The following is a 25,038-nucleotide window of genomic DNA, read 5'->3' on the forward strand; positions in this document are numbered from 1 at the left end:
TGCAGTACAGCGGCGCAACTCACTGTAGCCTGTATCTCCCAGGCTCAATCCTCCCACCTCAGCTTCCTGAATGGCTGGGATTACAGGCACATGCCACCACACCCAGTTAATTTTTGTATTTTTTGTAGAGATAGGGTTGTGCCATGTTGCCCAGGCTGGTCTCAAACTCCTGGGTTCAAGCCATCTGCCTGCCTCCCAAAGTGCAAGATCTACCTTTTAAAATCATGTTATTTATCTGTTGGAGGACACGGTTCTAACAATTAACAGTTCTATCTTTATGGAACAGCTTTTCACCTGAGTCAACTATGGATTGTACGGGGAACTGGCAATTTGTAGCAAGCTGCCAGAGTTGTCAAAACGGTGAACTTAAGAGCTGTCCTCAGTAGAAGCTGGAAATAAAAATCAACTCAAGTCCTTCCTACTCTGTTGCCTGTACCCTTACTCATCTCCGAGTCCTCTACTGCTGAATCCCTCTCAAACCAGTCAAGTTCTCCATATATTAATAACGCTGTCTTCTTCCAGTCTTTGTACCCTGAGGATCAAAACTACCATTTGCTTTATCTTGATATCATGAGAAAAGTCATTACTGTGTTACCACAGTAATGAATAGCTTTGTCCTAGTTCCTTTAGACACATAAGTGTGTAATTAGTGAGTCAAGAATTCTAAGAGTCTTTTTTTGTTTGTTTGAGGCGGAGTCTCACTGTCATCCAGGCTGGAGTGTAGTGGCAGGATCTTGGCTCACTGCAACTTCTGCCTTGTGGGTTCAAGCGATTCTCCTGCCTCAGCCACCCGAGTAGCTGGGATTACGGGCATGCGCCACTACACCCAGCTAATTTTTTGCATATTTAGTAGACATGGGGTTTCACTATGTTGGCCAGGCTGGTCTCAAACTCCTGAGCTCAAGTGATCCGCTCACCTTGGCCTCCCAAAATGCTGGGATTACAGGCATGAGCCACGGGCCCAGCGCTAAGAGGCTTTTTAATACTATTGAAATGTTTTAACTCTTGGATCTGTCAGTCATTTGTGTGACTTTTGGCAATTAATCTTTAAGTTGTAATCCATTTCTTCAGTAAAAAGAGTGGGTTTAAGTGTGTTTTTTAAAAAAAGTTAGTTTGGAAGTCTACTTCTGTGACTGACTTTTAGGCTTTAAAGACATTTTAAGAGTAATTTGTACCTTTCCCCTTGCTCAATTTGTTTTTCCTGAGAAAATGACTGGCCTTAGATTTAGTGACAGGTACATGCTGCATTTCTCTTTTTGTACACTTCTGGTATTTAATTATTAAACATATCCTTTGACATCTAGAAACAGGATTCACGTCCCTGTAAGTCTCTTCCCCGCCAGTAGTTGAGAATGTCAGCTGGGATGCATTCTGTATTTATTTCCAATTCTGGGGAACTGGACTATCCTGATTATAAGGGGTGTAAATCTCATTTTATCTTTAGATGTTTTGTTTTCTGATCTTTTTATAGGATCTCTAAATCAGGTTATACCCTTTATTGCTCAAAAATCTTTTTTTTTTTTATGAGATGGAATCTTGCTCTGTCACGCAGGCTGTAGTGCCAGTGGTGTGATCTCGGCTCATTGCAACTGCTGCCTCCTAGGTTGAAGTGATTCTCCTGCCTCAGCCTCTGAGCAGCTTGAACTATAGGCATGCACCACCACACCTGGCTAATTTTTTGTAGTTTTAGTAGAGATGGGGTTTCACCTTGTTGGCTAGGCTGGTCTCGAACTCCTGATCTCAGGTGATCTGCCCACCTCTGCCTCCCAAAGTGCTGGGATTACATATGTGAGCCACCGTGCCCAGCCAAATCTGGTATTTTCTTTGCATTTTAGCATTGCTCCCATGTGATATACTGGTAATCAATCATCTAACATTGAGGGCCATCAGATATCACCTATCTCTAAACTGAATGGGATAAATCATAATTTTGAAATTGGATTCTTCACTGTCTCTAATAAAGCTGCCTTAATTCAATGAATAAATTCTCATTTGGAGGCAAATTCTGAGGGAATGGAGACTAGAACAGGTCAGAGACATGTAGCTCATTTTAAGTTGCTATAAATGTCCATCTGGATGTAACATTCACTGCAGAAATAATCTTTAGATGTGTATATTTTACATTTGTTAGGGAACACAGAGTATAGTCTACAGCATTGTGTACATTTCATTACCTGTCATCTTTTAGCTTAAAATAATAAATGTTTCGCAAGTGCCACCCCCTTCAAAAACATCTCATGTTCTTTCCTACTGTGGATGACTGAGATGGTGTGAATATTTATTGATTTGTTTAAATGTGTCAACCATTATATGGTACCTGTAACCCAAGACTAAAAGTTTTTTTTTTAATGGGTTCTGCAAATGGAATATAAAAATTGGTTATCATTTTATTATTTATTTTTGAGACAGAGTCTCATTCTGTTCCCCAGGCTGGAGTGCAGTGGCGGGATATCGGCTCACTGCAACCTCTGCCTCCCGGGTTCAGGCGATTCTAGTGCCTCAGCCTCCCCAGTAGCTGTGATTACAGGCGTGTGCCATCACACCTGGCAAATAGTAGAGATGGGGTGACGGGGTTTCACCATGTCGGCCAGGCTGGTCTTGAACTCGTGGCCTCAAGTGATCTGCCCGCCTTGGCCTCCAAAAGTGCTGGGATTACAGGCATGAGTCACAACGTCCAGCCCAAAAATTGGTTTATAATTAAGGAAAATGCAGCACAATGTTTAACTGCATTAAGTTATTGGATAAAAAGACAAATACACTTGTAGGAGAGCTTCTGTGGTTTACTGTTCGAAGGCACAAATGCCTGTTGCTTTGGCTTCCATATCAGTCAGTATAAAAATCACTTGATGTGCTTTGTGCAAAATTTCCAGGACCTTATGTTTTATATGGGTGTCATGAAGTGAATGGCTGAAAGCTCTTCATAGAAGGAAGGTGGTTTACATCTGTGTGCCTAGGTGAGACTGTTTTAGTAGGTTTCATAGCAGAGTAACAAACAGGAGAAAACAGCTTCTAATATTTGTCATGATGTAGTCTTATCAGTTTAACTTCTTAGCATTTTGAGTTTATCCAGTTTTCTCAAGTAATAAAAAATACTGTCTAAAGGTTTATTTGGTTTTCTCTTGAGAGAGAAATAGTAAGATATGCATAGTTAATTCTACACTTCCACTATGATTGAATGAGAAAAGACCTTTATCAAAACTATTTGATAGGTTACGGGCACAAATAGATTAGCTTTTAGTACAAGTTGAATACTTCATGCTGCTGATACGGAACAATGGATTATTTGATTCGGGATTTTACTGGAAATGAGCATTATGGCCTTGACCTTTTCCCATCTCTGTGATAGACAAGATTTTCATCTTTTTTAACTTCACATTTTTCTCCTGAAGTAGCAGCACTTGACATGAGATTTATGAAAAATGTGTGCTTTCAGCATTGTGTAAATATTTATTTTACAGAGCCATAAGTGTGATCCTTGGTGACAGGTGGAAGAAAATGAAGAATGAAGAGAGAAGAATGTACACATTAGAAGCAAAGGCTTTGGCTGAAGAACAGAAACGTTTAAATCCTGACTGTTGGAAGAGGAAAAGAACCAATTCAGTATGTTTCAATAAATAGTGTTTAAAATTATCTTGCCTTATCCGTGCAGGTGTACTGGCATGTTGGAGCAGTTGTTACAACCTTTAAGAGGTTGTGTTGATGCTGTCTCTAGCATTTTTATACTTCAAAACCTAATAATGTTATCACATCATCATATAAAGACTGCCTTTCCTCAAGGGTCATTTACTCTCATAGCATGGCAAGTCGAAATCTCAGGCAAACTTCAAAAGAATGTTTGTTCTAAACATTGAGTTGGAAAAATAATTTTGGAATGCAGTGTTTCTAGTTGGGTTGAAAGATAAGCATTATTAATCCATTAATATCACAGTAGAAAATTTCTCTAATAATTTTGGGATTGTCTCAACAGCTTTTTTTCCTTAATTGGTGAGGGACCAATAAGGCTGGAGGTGTTGGGGTATGTTAGCTGTCATTCATGGGGACTTGTGCCATTGGCACAGAATTTCTAGATTGAAAAATTTCAAGGAGGAGAAGAAATAGGCCCAGGAATGGTGGCAAACAAGTCTATATGATAAGCTATCTTGGATAGACTTGTTTCTTATAACTTTTCCATTACTAAACTAGCATCTTTTAGGTTCAGCGTTTTTAGATTAATTGCAAAAAAATTACATGTGATATAGTGGGGTCAATTTGAAGTATCATTGAAAGATGAAGGGAAGATATCAATATTTTTATAGTAGGAGGGCTGGCCAAAGATGTTTTAAATTCATTGTGTACATGTGCCTGTTTCTTAGTAAAATGCAGGTCATATCTGTTTAAATTTTTCACAATTTCTTTAAAAATAGTGGTCAGTCAGTAGTCAGATGAGAGGGTGGCTGAACTGAATTTTGGCAGTTCTTGGTTAATTTAGAATTTCATGTGTTCGGACTTTTCCTGTATCCCTTTTCTGTTCATCCTAGTCAATGTCTTATCATTGCATACATTTTCTGGATGCTTGAGCCATCAGATATCAGCTAGCTTTTTAAAATCACCTTTAAGAAAGCAGTATTTTCTAATAGTAAATTTATAAACATCTTATACATCTTAGCTTTCATATATAGGATTACTATGTATTGATTTGTAAACATTCACTGAGTTTAATTTTATTTCCACAGGGCTCACAACAACATTAAACCAGGATGCTTATGTTCTTAAGTCTATATTTGCATATACATTGACTCTTGATGGAAAGACTTAAGAAGATCAAGGTCTCACCATTTGTCCTCAATTCGTGTGACCATAAGATACTGATAGCATTGAGTCTTGAAATGATTTAATAATATGAGTGAGGATTTGCTTTCTCCATTAGAGCATTAAGCTAAAACTATCAACATTTTAAACCAAATTGCCTTATTTTTCTTCCAAACTTCATATATGTCTATCAGGTAATAATAGGCTTGAAAATTGATATCCTGTGGTGCTAAAGTACAGTAGAAAGAGAGGAGAAGTGTATACATGTTTTATTTTAAATTGTACGAAAGGGGAATTTAAAAAATATGTAACTGCTGTTTATACATTGGCTCCTTACTGCTTATTAATCTGTATTGTACACATGATGAAATGAAGCAGAAGCTGGGAGTCGGCCTTTCCTCTAGTAACCACCACATGGCTCAGCATCTGTGCCAAACATAGGCGCTCCTAGTCTGGTCAGTGCCAAGAGGCTACCAGAACATGGGGCAGGTGGCTGGTGTTGGTGTCCCAGCCTAAGAGCCACCTGCTGCAGTTACCATGGCATGCTGAGTTGATGCACCAGGTGGCAGCAGCCATCCGTTATTATTTCCAATGGAGACCTAGCCCAGGCCAAGGTAAAGTTAGTTAATAGCATTGGGATATAGTCACTGTAATGGTGCTATTAACAAACAGTCAACACCATTGTATTTTTTAACTTCGTGTTCTGTATCTCCTCAGCCATGTATCTTAAATATATTTTGTCATCATAATCTTTATGGTGGGGGCAGACTTTGCACTTACTGCAGTGCAACACTTGCACTTTAATTTTCCTCCAACTGTCTAAAATTAGAGCAAATACATTGGCAATACAGCTGCTTTTGCTCTGAGCTACAATCATGGCTTTTCATGTTACTTACCAAGTGGTGTTTCTGGTTAGGAATCACAGCTGTAAAATTGATTTCAGTTCATCACACTTCTTCATGATGTTGCCCCTAAATTTTGCACACTATATTCTTGTATATTATTTCAAATAAATGGAAAAAAAAGTTGCTTATCTCTGACGTCTACTGATTGATTGATTGATTGATTAATCTTGGCTGAATTTTATTTATGAGTTCTCAGAATAACAGGTTCAGGAGATGAGATGGAAAACATAAGGCAAATTCCTAACACTGCTAATTAGGAGGCTGCTGATAGGATTTTAAAAATTAAAAACAATGTTAATAGTGGAACAAGAGCCATCAGAAAATAAGGACTTAGATTATCTACTATTTATAGAGAATTGCTATACAATAAAAATTTTTATTTTTCACGTGGCATTTTTGTTACACGGTTAAACAGCCCAAAGGTCTGCTTTTAATAACATGACAAAGTGTAACAAAAGCCTTGCTTTATTTAAAGATCCAGTATGACATACTTAAAAAGGCCATTTAACCTTGTATCTTAGCTTGGGATGTGCCAGTGGTTCCTCAACTTTGTTGTCTATTGGAATCATTTTGGGGATTTTTTTTTTTTTTAATAGTGGTGTCTGTCAGGCTCCCACTCCTAGACATGTTAATTAATGTGGAGTGCAAGTTGGGCATCAGGATTTTAAAAAAATCCCCTGGTGATTGGTATGAATGTGCAGCCAAATTTGGAAACCACTGAGCTACATGCTTATTTAGTGAAGAAGGCAGGGTTGGGGGAAGCAGGGTACATGTTATAACTTGATCATATCCCTTTAAAAGAAGTGGGGACTTTGGGTTTATGTACCCATAGGAGGACTTGGTTATGGATGGGAAAGACATTTTAGCCTTGTACAAAAATCTGAAAGAGGAAAACATCTTTCTGGAAAAATCAGGTCCATGGAATTGAAAGGTGGTGATAACTCAACATTTTTTATGCTAAAGTATAAGTGCTAAAGAGGTAAATAAACGTCGATAGGAAATACCGAACAATCAATTACATTCTTAAAATAGTAGATAGTAGCAGTCTTTTGGAGTATGTGTTTAACTGCCAACTATGAATGGGTTAGCACAAAGTGGAGATGAACAAAGATTTCATGTCATTACTGAAGAGCAGACATAGCCTTTTGAAGCAGCTGAACCATTATGGGATAAACTGGTGCAAATTCTTTGCCTTCTCTACTTCTCACTGATTGAACATAAGCTTCCAGGGCTCCCCTGAAAACCAAAATGAAAACAATGTCAAAATATTAGATAAATCACATAAAACAGTTAAGGGGATACCAATATATAAAAATTATTAGTAAGCTCATTTCTGGAACTGTTAATGCTCGGTTTCACAAGCCAAGTGACCAACAGCCTTCACTCAGTTACTGGTAGTGTTACTATGGTTACTACGGTTACTACGTTTAGTGTGAAAAACTATAACCATGTTTTCAGTCTGCATTGTTCTTAGTGGTCTAGTCATATACTCGGAGTCCTCTGGCTGTGTAAATATGTTCTCAATTTCCCTTTTCCCTGCTTCCCTACTGAAGACACCGGCAACGGAATGGGCATTTGTGCCTACTCCCAGAGCTCACGAGGGGCATCCTGCGCCTCTGAAAGGCACGCTCAAGAGTACAAGGGGATGGGGCCCTTTGGCACATTCGGTAACACCAGTAGATGCATTATATTCCTGTTATTTGATGAACTATGAACAACCAACAACTAGAATAAGTGCTCTTGGGCTGTAATGGCAAAATACATGATCGGGAAGCAGTCTGAATTTAATCAAGGGGATGTACCATTCCATTGTTTATGATTATGATCTCATGGATTAGGTTGGGGGTTAGCAAACTGCCTGCAGGCTGAATCTAGCCTGATGCTTGTTCATTTATATATTGTCTGTGGCTGCTTTCACACAATGGCAGAGTTGAATAGTTGAGGCAGAGACCATGTGGCCTGCAAAGTCTGAAATATATCTGGCCCTTCTTTTACAGAAAAAGTTCGTCAGTCCCTGAACCAGATCGTCTGTTTAAGTGGAGCTAAAAAGAATGGCTACGAGATTAATTTTTAATTATTGGTCTATTTAAGTACCAGGTACACAAATACATTTTTGTCATATTTTCTTCAAAATTTCAGTTTGAGATTGGAGCATTTGTATAAAGATGTAAGTTAATACCATTACTCAGCTCACATACGATAGCACTTAAGTGGTTTTCTTTTGCTCTCAAATACTGAAAATACTAATCTAATTGGGTTTGTTCAAGATTTTTCATTGAATTGTGGGGAAAACATTTCCCCAGAGTCTGGCTATCACTGATCAGTTTGTAGTGCCCTTCATCCCACAAGCCACTGTCATACGTAAAGGGATTTCAAATCTCTTAAGTTCCAGCCCTCGACCTCCCCCTCCTGATCTCTGCTTCTTCCTGTCCTCTGGACAGTTTTATCTGACTTGCTTCCAGGTAGCCTCAAACTCATTTGTCAAAAAATTGGGGCAGCGTTCTGCCCGCCTTCCCTTATTTCAACAAAGGGCACCATCAACTTAAGGTCTCTTAGTTCTTTTCCCCTCCTACACCGAAACAATTACCAAATCCTATTAATTTGCTACACACATTTCCACATCCAGTCCCTCCTCTCCCCTTCGCTTCACTTTGAACCCTTGCTATCTTGTGCCCTAATGATTGCTGTAGCCTCTTAAGGTGGTGAGCATCCTACTGCTGTTTCTCCCCTGTTCTGGTCAGTCTTCCATATTATAGCAAGAGATTTCCCCTGAAGTATTACAGCACTTGCCGTGCCCTGTTCTTTATAGGAAATCTGGAAAGGTCTGACTTCTGTATCAACAGCCTTGACTTAGCAGGATCCAGCATTGTGGAATTCCTGAAGGCTGGTTCCATGCTCTGGTCAGTGCCTAGACTCAACCCAACTGAATACCAGCTTCATCATCAAGCTGCTCCCAGCCCTTTCTGTGCTACTGCTGGGTTTTAGATAGCTTGATGTGGCCTAAAAAGACCCTCAAATCATTAGTTTCCATTTTTGTGTTACCAAGTAATGTGCAAAGCATATTTGCCCCATTTGTATGGCCCAACCTGGCTGCCCACCTAGGGAAAGATCAAGGGTGTTTGTTCATACATTGCTATGAAATAAAGCTGTCTCTGCCTAACAAAGTAGGGGGTGCCAAAGGGCCTGTTTATCTTTGGCCATACTGAATGTTTCAGTTAAAGAGCCACATTCTCTTAGCCCTTTGCACATTATCTTCCTTATCCTTAGAATACCCTTCCTTGCTTACTTTCTTGCGCAGCTCTTTATCTCTTAGGACTCGGCTTCAATGCTCCCTTTTAAGGAAAGCCTTTCTTAACTCCAGGCAGCAGGAAAGAATGGAAACCATCTTGGAGTCACACAGGTTTGTGAAACGATCTCACCTCTGTATCAACAGCCTTGACTTAGTAGGATCCGGCACTTTGGAATCCCTGAAGGCTGGCTCCATGCTCTGGTCAGGGCAGGAGTACTTTAAATCAGGTATGCAGGGGGATGGGCAAGCCCTTACTGAAGAAGTGTAGCTGTTTTTTTTTTTTTTTTATTTTTTTGAGACGGAGTCTTGCTCTGTCGCCCAGGCTGGAGTGCAGTGCCGCAATCTTGGCTCACTGCAAGCTCCGCCTCCTGGGTTCACGCCATTCTCCTGCCTCAGCCTCCCGAGTAGCTGGGACTACAGGCGCCCGCCATTGCACCCGGCTAATTTTTTTGTATTTTTAGTAGAGACGGGGTTTCACCGTGTTGGCCAGGATGGTCTCGATCTCTTGACCTCGTGATCCGCCCACCTGGGCTTCCCAAAGTGCTGGGATTACAGGCGTGAGCCAGAAGAAGTGTAGCTGTTTTAAATAACATGTAAGTTCATACCATTACTCAGCTCACATACCCAGTTTCAAGTCCCAGCTAACATACCACTCTCAACTGGCATGCAAGATGGAATTTAGTGCTCTTAGAGAACAATGTTTTGTGAGATGCCTTAGTTAAACCAGAGCTGACCCTGAATGGAGATATTTTTCTATGAAAAAAACTTGCTTCTTTTGGTAATATGCTTCTAGTTGGTATGCCATCCTGGGAAATTGTCTCCACTCCCCAAATGTAGTCCCTACAGAATCATATACAGTAAAGAAATCCCCAAGGGCTCATCTGTCTTTAAGACACCAAGGTGTATGTATCAGCGTATAAGAAGTGTTTAAATTCACAGGAACTACAATCATTTCATAGTGAATGGATTAGATATATTTGATGGACAAAAATCAACTTAGTTTCGTTGGCATTTAAAAGGATAAGACATCACGTAAGTTACACAACATGTAGAAGAGATCAGAAATGAGTTTGGTTAGATTTTTGGGTAGTCATCAAAAACACCATCAGAAGTATGGGGCAAAAAAGATTAAGCTGCCCTCCCACATGAAATTAGAGCAAGATTTTCGAGTACTTATTAAATTACTTCATTTGCTTAAGCAAAACATTAGCTTTCTTGGAAGTCAGGCCAAGTGTTATGTAACAGTTAGTCTTAACTCTGGTTTGTAACCAAAATAAGTAGATTATTGAGGTTATCCTTATTGAGAAAAAAAACACGATTAGTAGAGGAATGGTTTGTGGTAACATGGCAACACTGCTCAACATGACAAAAACTAGCCAAGTGGAAGTTTTCATGGAAAACAACATTGATTTTTGTCAGGCATTTAAATATTCAATGTGATTAGTAAGTACTGAAATGCATAAATGACTTAAAGATACACTACATGCCTCAATAAGCAGTTAAGCCCAGGCTTTTCCCTGGTTCCATCCTCCCTCTTCGTCCTATTTCAGACACTCCATTCACAGAACTGATAGGTAGCTAGTGACATGGTACCAGGAGGAGAAACATTTCCCTCCATCGATGGAGATCTTGGGAGTTCTGCAGAAGTACAGAGGAGCTGAGGGAATGGCTTCCAGATTGTGGACCCTGGACCATGGCAAGAGGGCAAGGGATCCAAGGATGCACATGGCACCAAGCATTCTCTGATGGTGTAGATAAAAGTACCACTAGGCTAATAAGGTCTGTGAACATTTGTGTACTCCTACTCAAAGAGGGCCATAAGAAGAAGAGTTGCTCTCCACGGCAAATATCCAGAGTAAATGGATTTGAGGCCAACCCCACCGCTGTTACAGAGCTTGAGAAATCTTTCCATCAAAGACTCTATCTTTATTGAAAACACATTCAACACTTACCCACAGGCACGAGCCAGGCGGCTGCCTCTGCATCTGAGGGAGCACACGTGTCTGGAGCACCTGCCTGATGCAGGCTGAACACATACAACTGCCCCCATTTACACCACTTGGTCCCATGAGTAAGTTATTACTCTGATTTTCAAATGAACTTGACTAGTATTCATTTAAGCTCCAGAAAGCATCTGGTGTCAGAAGAAAACAGGAAGGCAGGATGGTTCACTATTTCCCATTTATTCAGCAGCAGTAGTTACACTATCCTCAATTTGCCCTATTTTATGACAACCTAACATATTATGCTGGGAGGAACAGAATGAGTATACAACAAGGTTTGCCCCAGAAGCTAAAACAAATTTACTGACATTTAAAGAGCAATACTCACCCTCGGTTTGTCTACAGGGGAAAGAAATTCATCCAGTGATGCTTCAGTATGCAAGAACAAAATTGTTTTGCAATAATACATAAGAAAGAACATTCTCTAGGACAAAAGTCCCCTCCTTGCCAAGAGCCTGGGGTGCAGCAGGAGTACAGTACTTTTTTTGAAACCCTGAAGGACAGCTCAATTTTTTGCTAAGGGCATGAAGGTTCTGGAATCAGCCATGTGTGGAGGGATGGATATGCCTTTTTAAAAAAGCATGACAGTATTTCTGAGCATGATTTTCAGTTGCTAAATATAGGCTTAGCAACAGCACTGCTGATGAAATCACTCAGGAGACATTTTTAAAGAGAAGCAAAAGAAAACAGATTTGTGATGTACACACAGCAGGACAACTGTTTTGGATGAACTCATTCCAACTTGTTAAGACGACAAAAATGACCAACTTGTTAAGATGAGAAAAATGAACGTGTTCAATTAACTGAATCCTCTTTTTAAGACGACTGAGTGTGTTGCAGCTGAGTGAATCTTTGGGACTCGGGAAAAATAATCCACACAGACATTGCAAATCCCTGTGTTAGCCCAGGCCCAAACTCCTCACCCAAATCCAAAGCCTTTCCCGAGGGCAGATTTTACCAGGAACATTCACCGGGGCTGGTAACCTCTCCCATTTCTGTGTCAGATGTTCATAGCTGAGTAACAGATAAGCAAGGAAAAAGAGCAGGGTCCGAGCTAATCTTTATCCACACATACGCCCAGAGGGCCAGTGGCTCATGTGGGATGTGGGTACCAAGCTTGAGGGCTCAGGGTCACTTCTGGAAACAAAGCTGACAGGCTGATGGTTCTTACTGACCTGTCATAGCTTCCTCAGCAGTCTTTCATCCTAACTGAAATATGACCCACTATGGCAGGGGTTCACGCCCTTGGCTGCACCCTGGACCTTCTTGGGGAGCTATAGAGAAATCCTGATAGCAGGCCTACCCTGGAGATTCTGAGGTAGGCAAGGGTGAGAGACCTGGGCACTAGGAATTTTCCAAGCTATGTAAATGATTCTTGTGTGCACATGTGGTTTAGAACCACCTCATCATGTCAGCCCCACTCTGGCTTTAGGGAACTCAACTCATCACCTGACACAGGCTAACAAAGGATCACTGGGTGCAGTGGGCCCAGACCAACAGAATTGGGATCCCCTGGGAGAGTTGAGAATGACTTCAAGAGCTATTTTAGAGACGCAACAGAGTGGGTTTGAGGAATAAGGATGACAGAGGAGTTGAATGATGATGTAAAGGTTTTCCGGCTTGGCTAGTTAGGTGATTGTGACCTCCCAACCAAGACAGGGAGTATAAGAGAATGAGAAGGTTTGAGAGAAAAGATTAGAATTATTTTGACCATTCTGGGGTTGAGATTTCTGTGGGTGGTGACATATGATAGCAAGTTTACTGGGCCAAGGCCCCATCCAGAGGCAGTCACAGACCTGAGGGCTCTTAAGTATAGAAGGGGCACTAGAGGCATGGGTCTGGACAAGCTCACCTGGGAACCAAGGCAGAGGCAGGATGAGAAGAAGAAAATATGGGAAATGATAGCATTTAAGGAATGGCTAGAAGAAGATAATTCAGCAAATGACACACAAAAAAAAATGGCCAGAGAAGTTAGAACAGAAACAGATGGCTGTGGTGTAATGCAAGCTCTGAGAGGACAGGGCCATATCTCGGCTTACTTCGTATCCTCGGTTCCTGGCCCAGGGCCTACCATGCTGATAAAATGTGAGCTCAGCATCAATAAAAATGTGCTGAGTCCCAGTTTATGAGTTTACAGAAGGAAATGGCGGTCAACTGTAGCTAAAGCTACAGAGTGGTAAGGTAAAAATGGGAATGTTTGGTGGCTGAGAGGTCTCTGGTGATGGTGAGAGCAGTTGCAGGGAAGAGTGTTGCTTAATAAGCCATGTATGACAGTTAAAGCACCCCACCCTGGGCATGGTTGGGGTACATGGGGGTGTGTGCACGTGTGGGCAAGAGCACATGCGTATGTATGTGAATGCATTCATGGGGCACTACTGGAGGGCCATGGTATCCAAGTGGCTGCTGGGTTGTTCTTGTTTCCTCCTCAGAACTGTTTCGCACTTGGGTATTTTTAAAAATTCACTCACATCTGTGTTCCACCAATTCAGTAACTGCAGCACATAAAAATGAAGTAAAAGATGCGGAGCTAGGGCAAAACTTTTCATAGCAAATGATGATTTTCAAAGGTACAAATGCATGGTCCTTAGGGTTGCATGGGACACAGGATTGCACATCAGGGATATGAAGGTTTGGAATGAAAGAAAGCAAAAGATGTTGTGGCCAACATTTCCAACTGCTGGTTGCTCCAGCACCCGTGCCTAGGCAGTGAGGTGGCCCGCCACTGGAAGGTGCAGTCACATGTCCATGCCCCCAGGCACTGCTCCTTCATCCTCTCTTGCATCCCCACCCTCCTTGGGCTTCCAGACCAGATGGGTGCCCCCAGAGCACCTGGCTTTACCTGATGAGGAGGAGCCTGTCCTTTTCAGATGGATGGTCATCCAGCCACTGAGAGAAGCGTGTGTGGGACCACTCTGCCCTCTGCAGGGTTGAAACACAATTAGAGAGAGTGCATACGCATTCTTTAGTAAATGGCAGCAAGTGCTGGTTCGAAAAGCACTCTCAAGTATTCCCAAGGTGAAACTGCCCCAAAACCTGTCCAAGGGAAGTGTGAAGGGGGCATAGGCCTTGGTGCACCTTCCTGACTACCAAGGAGCCTTCTAGATTTGCCAATTGATGGTGGGTCAGCAAAGAAAATGGGGCTGCCATCAAAAATTCTTTATGAACACAAATTACTTGTATCATTATTAAAGGTAAATTCTGGATGCATCAGGTAATTTTTTGCACTGCTGAGAAAGAAGACACTGAGCAGTGGGAGTTTTCCTTTTCTAATATCTATTCACTGTCAAAGATAGACATAAGCAACTAAACAAAGCAGCAGAGGGCCAGGAATCATTCAGTGAGTAGGGGCTCAGGATTCACACAGGTAATGGGAAGAGTCACAAAAGGGTTCTGGCTTGACTTTATTTATTACCTGGAAAGGAGATTTCAGTTCAGCGGGTGCTCTCGTGAACAAAAACTGAATAATGATGCTGAACGGAATCACATCCCCCAATGCAGGACTACTGGCTACATGTTCACTTGCCTGGAAGAGCAGAGGTCTAGACGGGAAAAACAGAAGTTATTTCACACTGTTCAATACTGAAATAGGTGATTTGGTGGGAGAATCATTCTCCTTGTAGAATAGCATTTTTCCTAGATTGGCTACTGAAGGAGCCCTCCACTGCTTAACCACTCTATTCAGCCTTGAGACGCCCACAAGCCTCTACCCCCACATGCCCACGTGCTCACAGGCTGATCTACCCTTCAGCTCCCATTTGACCCCCGGTTCATTGGTCTATGAGTCTGACATCCACCGGACTCAGCAAAAGCTCCTTATAAAGTTCATCTAATTACAAGGCTAAAAGCAGATAAAGAACAAGAGTAAAGCCTTCAAGTAGTTGTTATTAACAGATTCTTATCTTCATCAATCCTTTCAGCTTTTATTTAAAATAGAATCCTTCTTTGGACCATAATCAAATGTGGTATATGCAAACATTTTCTACACAACTTTTCAAAAAGGCAAATATGTCTTTGTATATACAAAGTTATTACTTTGCTGAACACTCCATCAAAAATTTATGCTAGCTCCCTTATACTATATTACATGTATGGGTTTCATTGTCCACATTTTACAGAAGGAGCAAGCAGGCAAATCCATTCCACTACAAATTATATACCACCTGGTGCAAAAGGCTGGCAAGAATTATTTGAACTGTTATTGGCTTTGAGCTCTTATGGATGAGAGCTGATTAGAAGCGGAGCTGTGGACATTGAATCCCAAGTAGTAAGATGGCAGCAACATCTCTTGACAGATGAGATAATGATTCTGAACCATGTAAAACGGCACTGTATCCTGGGGTCTTTCTTTACCCCAACTTAATTACTCTAATTATGAATGAAGGCCTGTACAAAATAGAGAAGCGAACTTCTTCCCTATACTAATGATAAGGTCAAGAGTCAAGAATGTTCTCAATAGATAGCTGGTTCTCATTAGATACAGAATTATTATTAGTAAAGATGGCTTTATATTAACTATTCTACAAGTAAAAATCTATCTTTATCAAATAACATTATGTTGTAATTTATTTTCCCTAGCTACTGGGGAAGCATTTCAGTCATTTATGTTGTCTATCACCAGAAAGCCATAAAGCTCCAAACCAGACATTCCATGAGAAGACGACTAAGGTCTTATGGCCACACTGAAAATGTGATGCACCTGCCTTGAAAATCTGCAAGGTCCAAATAATTTCACAGTGTTCAATGCTGCAGAGCTTTAGGTGATAATTCAAGTATCTAAACAAATATGAAAACTTTGCTGAGAATATTTCAGATTTGTTTGTAGGCATCTCTGTAAGTCCTCTGTATGGATGACATTGTCTTCATCTAGGTAAAAGCTCCTAGTTTTAACATAATTCTCATTATCAACAGGATAGCACCTACAGTGTGTCAGGCACAGTTTAAAGCTTTATAGAGGGTGAAGTCAGCAAGATGGTAGAAGAAGAACTTCCCGGCTTCATTGCCCACCCACAGAAAATCCAACTAACAATTATCCACAGACAAGAACATCTTTGTGAAGACACTAAAACTTGGGAATGAGAATGAAAACACCTACATGGAACACAGAACCATATAAAAACTGCATTAGAAGAGTAAGAGGCATGGTTTCACCTTGACCATATCACTCCTCCCACTCCTCCAAGTCAGCACAGAGCCACAGGGGGGATTCTCCTAAGCCCACGTTTTCTACAGAGGAAAAGAGAACTGAAAGTAGAGATCTAGCTTCCCTAGCATTCTGAGTTGCTTTGAAGGAAGCCCATGACTGTCTTGCCTCAAAGGGAATACTGGAGTAACTGCAGGGCAAGATCCCCTGGTGTCAAACAAATCAAGAAGGTGGAGTTTGCAGTGACTGGTGTGCAGATCTGGGTGGTAGCTCTGTGTTGCTGCCAGCAGCGGCACCTGATCAGAGAGATCAGCTAATGATCTACCCTACCTACAAAGCTGAGTCGGCTGCTCCCAGAAGCTGAACAAGAAGTTCAACCTGGCTTGAGTCCCTAGAAAACTAGCCTCTATGCCCAGCCTCAGAGCCCACCCCAAGGCCCTACCCAGGAAAAGAGATGCCCACCACAGTGCATTTTTTGAAGAGAACAGTGGCTAGACTTGCCCAAACCCTGAAATCCAAACAGCAGCGCCAAACAGTGGCTCCACCTAGTGTCAGAGCCCATCCCATGGTCCAGCCCAGGCAAGGACTATGGAGCATAACCTCTGGACTTGTCTAGAACAGTGATCCATCTAAACCTAGAGCCCAGCCTGCCGACCTACCCAACTGCATAACCCAAATAGCAATACTCCCCAACAGGGAAATACACTTTGTGACGCTGCCAGATATTAGAAGCAATCACAGTTCCCAGCCAGCAGCTCCGCCTGATTGCAGTGGCCAGCCAGTAGTCTTGCTGGAAGGTGAAGCTCAGCCAGCAGCCGCATCCAAACTCAGAGCAAAGGCAGAGACCCAGCCAACTAGAGAAACTGACAGCAAGCTCTGCCTCCCTGGGGTTGATATCAGCTGGCTCATCCAGAATCACAGGCTAAAGTAAATAATGAAGTTAAATCTATGCTAAAGAACACCTCTAAAGGATGGAAGAGGTGGCTGTCTCCTCAAATGCACAGACATCAATACAAGGACATGAAGATTATGAAGAACTAGCGGAATAGTGACACCACCAAAAGAAATTAATAAAGCTCTAATAATGGACCCTAAAGAGACGGTCATCTATGGAATGACCAACAAAAAATACACAACAATCCTCTTAAGGAAGTTCAGGAAACTACAAGAATATAAAAATAAAAAGTTAAATGAAATCTGGAACACAATATATGAACAAAATGAGAAATCTGACAGAAAAACAGAAACTATAACAAAAACCAAATAGAAATCCTGGAAATGGAGACAACAACAACTGAACTGAAAAATTAAATAGCAAGTTTTAACTGTAGACTTGTACTAAAAATTCAACCCAAAGAGGAGTTCACCAAGACACATAATAAACTGTCAAAAATAAAAGACAAAAAAATTGAGAGCAGCAAGAAATAAGAAACTTGTTACATACAAAGAACTTGCAATATGGCTACTAGAGGATTCTCAGCAAAAACCCTGCAGGGCAGCATAAAATGAGATGATATATTTAAAGTGCTGCCAACCAAAAAAGCTATCCTTCAGAAATGAGAAAGAAATAAAAACTTTCCCAAGCAACAGCTAATGGAGTTCATCAGCAGTAGGCCTGCCTATTGAAATTGCTAAATGGAGTTCTCTAAGCTGATATAAAAGGCTGCTAATTTAATAAAATATATGAAAACACAAAAATCAATGCTATAAATAATATAGAGTCATACTCAGAAAAACCTAGAAGTGTAATAGTGGTCTGTAAAATAATTTTATCTCTAATACAAGGTTAAAAACTATTAAAATTAGAGCTCAAGGCCAGGCACAGTGACTCATGCCTATAATCCCAGTACTTTCAAAGGCTGAGGTGGGCGGATCACTTTGGGCCAGAAGTTCCAGACCAGCCTGGTCAACATGGCAAAACCCTGTCTTTACCAAAAGTACAAAAATTAGCCAGGCATGGTGGTGTACACCTGTGGTCCCAGCTACTTAGGAGGCTGAATCATGAGAATCGCTTGAACGGGGAGGTGGTGGTTGTAGTGAGCCAAGATGGCACCAATGCACCCCAGCCTGGGTGATAGAGCGAGACTCTGTCTCAAAAAAAAAAAAAAGAAAAAAGAAAACAAAAGTATAGCCCAAATTAGGGATACAAATTACAAAATGATGTATATTTTGACATCAAAATATTAAAATGTGTAGGGAAGGGGAATAAAAATGTAGAGTTGTTGTATGTTATCAAAATTCAGTGTTATCAGCTTGAAATACCCTGTTATGAGTATATGGTTTTTGGAAGCCTCATGGTAAGTACAAAACAACAATCTAGAGTAGAGGCACAAAACATACATAGAAAGAATTCAAAGCATACCACTACAGAAAACAATCAGACCACAAAGGAGGACAGCAAGAGAGGAACAAGGAAACAAAGCATCCACAAAACAATCAGAGAACAAACTACAAACTAGTATTATTGAGTCCTTACCTATCAATAATTATTTTAAGAGCAATAAAATCTCCATTTGTAAAAGAAAAAATGGCTGAATGTATAAAAAATAAGACCCAGCTGGCTGGGTGTGGTGGCTCACGCCTGTAATCCCAGCACTTTGGGAGGCCGTGGTGGGTGGATCACAAGGTCAGGAGATCGAGACCATGCTGTGAATGGGGAAACCCCATCTCTACTAAAAATACAAAAAATTAGCTGGGTGTGGTGGCGGGCACCTGTAGTCCCAGCTACTCGGGAGGCTGAGGCAGGAGAATGGCGTGAACCCGGGAGGCAGAGTTTGCAGTGAGCCAAGATTGTACCACAGCACTTACAGCCTGGGTGACAGAGTGAGACTCCGTCTCAAACAAACAAACAAACAAACAAACCCAGCTATGTGCTGCCTACAAAAGAGTCAACTCACTTCTTTTTTTTTTTTGAGACGGAGTCTTGCTTTGTAGCCCAGGCTGGAATGCCTTGGTTCACTGCAAGCTCTGCCTCCTGGGTTCACGCCATTCCCCTGCCTCAGCCTACGGAGTAGCTGGGACTAGAGGCGCCTGCCACCACACCTGGCTAATTTTTTATATTTTTAGTAGAGATGGGGTTTCACCGTGTTAGCCAGGATGGTCTCGATCTCCTGACCTTGTGATCCACCCACCTCGGCCTCCCAAAGTGCTGGGATTACAGGCATGAGCCACTGCGCCTGGCCCGAGACTCAACTCATTTCTAAGGACACAAAGAATAAAAGTGAAAGTATGAAGAAAGATATTCCATGCAAATGGAAACTGAGAGAGGCAGGACTAGCTATCCCTTTATCAGACAAAATAGACTTAAGCTCAAAGCAATAAAAAAAGGCAAAGAAAGTCATCATGATAAAGGTGTCAATTCATCAAGAGGATATAACAACTGTAAATATATCTGTACCCAACATCAGAGCACCTAAATATGTAAAGCAAATATTAAATAATTTAAAGACAGAAATAACTTACAATGCAGTAATTGTAGGGGACTTCAATACCTCACTTTCAACAACGGCAGATCATCCAGATAGAAAGTTAATAAGGAAACAATGAACTTGAACTACATTTTAGACCAAATGGACCCAACAGACATATACAGCATATTCTATCCAACAGCAAGGGAACAGACGTCTTCTCAAGTGCACACGTATCTTGCTTCAGGATATGTCATATGTTAGGTCGCAAACCAAGTTTGAACAAATTTAGGAGAAATGAAATCATATCAAGTATCTTTTCTAATCAGAATGGTATGAAACTAGACATCAATAATAGGAAAAATCTTTGAAATGCCACAAATATGTGGAAATTAAACAACATGCCCCTCAACAACCAATGGGTCAAAGGAGAAAACAAAAGAGAAATCAAAAAACATCTTGGAACAAATGAAAATGGAAATGCAATATACCAAAACGTATGGGATACAGCAAAAGCAGTTCTAAGAAGGAAATTTATAGCAACAAATACTTAAATAAAAATAAACATCTCAAATAAAGAACCTACTCAAGAAACTACAAGAGAAGAACAAATTTAAGCCCAAAGTTAGCAGAAGGAAAACAATTCAAAGATCAGAGCAGAAATAAATACAGACTAGAAAACCAGGGGAAAAAATCAACAAAACAAAGAGTTTTTTGAAAAGTTAAACAAGATTGACAAACCCTTAACTAGACTAAAAAAGAAAAAGAGAAGACTTAAATCAAATTGGAAATGAAAGAGAAGATATTACAACTGGTACCACTGAAATACAAAGGATAATGAGCGATTACTATGACAAATCATATGGCCACAAATCCAGTAAACTAGAAAAAAATGGATAAAATTCCTAGACACATATAATCTACTAACACTGAATCAAGAAGAAATAGAAAACAGAAATAGAACAAACAGAGAATCTGAGCAGACCAATAATGAGTAAAGAGATTGGATCCATAATAAAAAGTCTCCAATCAAAGAAAAGCCCAGGACCTGATGGCTCCACAGGTGAATTCTATAAAAGGTTTAAAGAAGAGCTAATACCAATCCTTCTCAAACTTGTCCAAAAAAATCAAAAAGGAAGGAATACTTCCAAGCTAGTTTTAGGAGGCCCTGATACTAAAGCCACAAAATGACATAGAAGAAACTTACAGGGCAATATCCTTGATGAACATAGATATGAAGATACAAAATCCTCAACAAACTACTAACAAATCCAATTCTACGGCACATTAAGAGGATTATTCACAATGATCAAATGAGATTTCTCCCTGGGAGAAATGCAAGGATGTGTCAACATATATACATCAATAAATGTGATGCATCGTATCAGCAGAACAAAAGACAAAAACCATATGATCATTTTATTAGATGCGGAAAAAGCATTTGACAAAATTCAACACCCTTTTATAATAAAAACTCTCAACAAATTAACGGCCACATACGATAAGCCTACAGCTAACATTATACTCAATGGTGAAAAGTTGAAAGCTTTTCCTCTAAGATCAGGAACAAGACAAAGATGTCCACTGTCAGCAAGCACTTTTATTCATAATCCTACTGGAGGTCTTTGTCAGAGCAATTAGGCAAGAGAAAGAAAGAAAAGGCACTCAAATAGAAAAGAAAGACATGAAATATTACCTGCTTGCATATGACATTATCTTACATATCCAAAACCAAAAAGATACCACCAAAAGACAGAACTAATAAAGGAATAAGGTCCCAGGATACAAAATTAAGACAAATCTAATCAATAACAATGAATGATCTGAAAAGGAAATCAAGAAAATACCTACATATAATAGCTACAAGAATGTAAAATACTTAGGAATAAATGTACTTAGGAATAAATTTAACCATGGAAGTGAAAGATTTGTACACTAAAAACCGTAAAACATTGATGAAATAAATTGACAAAAAAATAAATGGAAAGCTATTCTGTGTTCACGGACTTGAAGAATTAATATTGTTAAAATGTCCATACTATCCAAACCAATCTTCAGATTCAATGCAATCCCTATGAAAATTCCAATGTCTTTTTCCCCAGAAATAGAAAACATAATCCTAAAATTCATATGGAACCATAAAAATCCCTGATTAGCTAAGGCAATCATAAGTAAAAATAACAAAGCTGGAGGTATCACTACCTAATTTTAAACTATATTACAGAGCTATATAGTAATTAGAATAGCATGGTACTGGCATATAAATAGAAACACTAAGAAATAGAACAGAACATAGAGCCCATAAATGAACCCACACATTTACAGTCAATTGATTTTCAACAAAGGTGCCAAGAAAACACAATGGGAAAAGGACAGCCTCTCCAATAAAGGGTGTTGGGACAACTGGATATCCATCTAAAGAAGAATAATTTGGACCCTTAGGTCATACCATATAAAAAATCAATTCAAAAACGGATAAAAGTCAAGGTGTGGTCTTGAAAGGACTTGAAACTGTAAAAAAAACTAGAAGAAAGAAAACATAGGGGGAAACTTCCATGACACTGGTCTGGGAGGTAACTTTTTGGATTTGATCCCAAAAGCTGAGACAATAAAAGAAAAAATAGACAAATGGGATTACATTAAAGTAAAAAGCTTCTGCACAGCAAAAGAAATAATGAGAATAAAAAGACAACTAATAGATTAGAAGAAAGCCATACATCTGATAAGAAGCTAACATTCAAAATCTATACGGAACACAAAAATGGCAAGAAAACTACCCAATTTAAAAATGTGCAAAAAACCTGAATAGATGTTTCTCAAAAAAAGTCATATAAATGACCAACAGATATATGAAAAAATGCTCAACATCACTAATCATAAGGAAAATGCAAATTAAAACCACAATGAGATATCACCTCATGCCTGTCAGAATGACTATTATTTAAAAAAATGAAAGATTGTGGTGAGAGTGTGGGGGAAAAGGGAACCCTTGTACACTGTTGGTGGGAATGTAAATTAATACAACCATTTTGGAAAACTGTATGGCAGTTCCTCAAAAAACTAAAAATAGAATTACAATATGACTTAGCAACCCCACTTGAGTACATATCCTAAAGACTTGAAATTGGCATGTTGAACAGATAGCGCACTTCATGCTCAATGCAGCATTATTTACGATAGCCAAGTTATGGAATCAATCTAAGTGTCTATCAATGGATGAGTAGATAAAGAAAATATGACATATATACAAAATAGAGTACTATTCAGCCTTCAAAAAGAAGCAAATCCTGTCATTCGACAACACGGATGAGCCTGGAGGACATTACGTTAAGCTAAATAAACCAGACACAGAAACACAAATACCACATGGTCTCACTTATTTGTGGGATCTTAAACAATAGAACTCATAGAGGCAGAGAACAGAATGGTAGTTACCAGAGGCTAAGGGGGGAGGAAATGGGGAGGTTTTAGTTAAAGGGTACAAAGTTACAGTTAGACAGGAGGAAGATGGTTTTTGAAATCTATTGCACAACATGACGACTATAGTTGGTAGGAATGCATAGTACATTTCAAAATTGCTAATAGAATAAATTTCAAATGTTCTTATCATTAAAAATGCTAAGTGTTTGAGGTGATGTTTTAGTTTGAATTAATCATCCCACACGGTACACATATAATATCACTTTGTACCCCATAAGTGTATACAATAAACAAATATATGTTAACTCATTTATTCTTCTAAAAATCCTATGAGTTAGGTACTATTACATCCCCATTTTACAGATGGGTAAACAGAGGCATAGAGAAATCCAGTAAAAGCTAGAAGTGGCAAAGCAAGGATTCAAACCCAGACAGCCTGGCTCTTAATTCTGCAATGCAGCCTCTTTTAGAATATCAGCTGTAGCAACTACTCATCCTATTTCTAGAACAGCTATGCTGATTCACAGAATCAGTATATACAGAAACAAAGACCTCTAGAGAAAGCACAATTTTGAACTGTCAACAACTTGTACAGAAAAACCTATCTGAGAAAACTAATGTGTACAGGATCATCATTTGAAGGTCACACAATTATCACCTCTCTGGGTACTCCAAATTCTATCTTTGGGTCAAAATGGACCTCTAGTCACTTAGCTACTTGAAGCATATAATCACAATCTCTTTCGGAATTATTTTCACATGGTGTGACCTTAAGTTCCTCTGGGGTAATGGGTGGTGTTGTCTTAAAGGCCTCTGGAAACTGACTCTGGGTTGGAATGATGACGAGGCTATGCCTCAGCTCTGCTCTCCATAGACTGGTTACTATTTGTCCCCAACAGAAAAAGCTAAAATATCTTGCAGCCCTATGGTCCCTGGATGCTGAGCAACTGACATTCCCAGACAGCTCCCTAAACTCCAAATCCAGCCCATGATTCTAACCTGCTCATTGTGACGAGGCTGCTCTCGTGTTTGAGCTATTGCAGGGAAAAAGTGTAATAAGAAGTCCCTCCACCGGGTCACAAGTTCATATTGTAGGTCTGGTGTGCCCAGGCCCTGAAAGGGGACTTTGAGGGATGCAAAGGATAGCGGGACTCATGCCTTCTTTTTTTTTTTTTTTTTTTTTTGAGGCAGTCTCGCTTTGTCGCCCAGGCTGGAATGCAGTGGTGCAATCTTGGCTCACTGCAACCTCTGCCTCCCAGGTTCAAGCGATTCTCCTGCCTCAGCTTCCCAAGTAGCTGATGACAGGCGCCTGCCATCACACCCAGCTAATTTTTGTATTTTTAGTAGAGATGGGGGTTTCACGATGTTGGTCAGGCTGGTCTCAAATTCCTGACCTCAAGTGATCTGTGTGCCTTGGCCTCCCAAAGTGCTGGAATTACAGGCATGAGCCACTGCACCTGGCTTCATGCCCTCACTTCTGTCCTGCTGTCCCTGGTTGTCGTGTTCAGCAGTACATTGGTCCTGTGAGTTTTCCCTTTCTCCATTAGAGCCCATTCTTTGCTCATGCCATGTGATAGAGTAGGGTTCATCTTGAACCCTAGTTTACGATGTGAGAAGACCCCAGGGGTGGGGGTGGGGTTCAGCCCTATATGACAGTCCTTGATTGTTAACGAACAGCAGCCATATGGAATCCTATACTACCTCTACAACAGGAAGGTGATCAAGAATTTTGGTCCTCCCATCTCTTAGTACTTCCCGTATGAAGCTCTCTGTATAAAAGTCCTTATAAGTACTTTAGAATTAAGTGCCAAGAAATGCTTAACTTTCTTGGCCAGGTGTGGTGGCTCACACCTGTAATCCCAGCACTTTGGGAGGCCGAGGCAGGCAGATCATGAGGTCAGGAGATTGAGACCATCCTGGCTAACATGGTGAAATCCCATCTTTACTAAAAATACAAAAAAATTAGCCGGGCATGGTAGCGTGTGCCTGTAGTCCCAGCCACTCGGGAGGCTGAGGCAGGAGAATGGCGTGAACCTGGGAGGCAGAGCTTGCAGTGAGCCGGGATCATGCCACTGCACTCCAGCCT

General features: G+C 40.4%; 2 protein-coding genes and 1 long non-coding RNA gene across 16 annotated transcripts in view; 2 read left to right on the top strand and 1 right to left on the bottom strand.

The window, feature by feature from the left end:
• Nucleotides 1–5,821, top strand: part of HBP1 (HMG-box transcription factor 1) — a 33,520-nt gene extending 27,699 nt beyond the window's left edge. For all 6 annotated transcript variants that reach the window (NM_001439013.1, NM_012257.4, NM_001439012.1 and 3 more), the window contains 2 exons: nucleotides 3,459–3,600; nucleotides 4,713–5,821. In NM_001439013.1, the coding sequence (NP_001425942.1) occupies nucleotides 3,459–3,600; nucleotides 4,713–4,730 (160 nt within the window). In that variant the 3' untranslated portion in view covers nucleotides 4,731–5,821. The remainder of the gene's footprint in view (nucleotides 1–3,458; nucleotides 3,601–4,712) is intronic.
• Nucleotides 4,671–25,038, bottom strand: part of COG5 (component of oligomeric golgi complex 5) — a 362,549-nt gene continuing 342,181 nt past the window's right edge. For 7 of the 9 annotated variants that reach the window (NM_001379516.1, NM_001379515.1, NM_001379511.1 and 4 more), the window contains 3 exons: nucleotides 14,398–14,524; nucleotides 13,825–13,904; nucleotides 4,671–6,929 (listed from right to left, as the gene is read on the bottom strand). In NM_001379516.1, the coding sequence (NP_001366445.1) occupies nucleotides 6,815–6,929; nucleotides 13,825–13,904; nucleotides 14,398–14,524 (322 nt within the window). In that variant the 3' untranslated portion in view covers nucleotides 4,671–6,814. Of the gene's footprint in view, nucleotides 6,930–9,933; nucleotides 13,905–14,397; nucleotides 14,525–25,038 lie in introns of those variants that run through there. The other 2 variants (NM_001161520.2, NM_001379513.1) reach the window with 2 other exon arrangements.
• On the top strand, nucleotides 6,929–12,962 carry LOC124901720 (uncharacterized). The gene is made up of 2 exons (XR_007060471.1): nucleotides 6,929–7,790; nucleotides 8,992–12,962. It is a non-coding gene; the product is annotated as an uncharacterized LOC124901720 (long non-coding RNA).

Source organism: Homo sapiens, chromosome 7, assembly GCF_000001405.40.
Source record: "Homo sapiens chromosome 7, GRCh38.p14 Primary Assembly".
In the NCBI taxonomy this organism is placed as follows: Eukaryota; Metazoa; Chordata; class Mammalia; order Primates; family Hominidae; genus Homo; species Homo sapiens.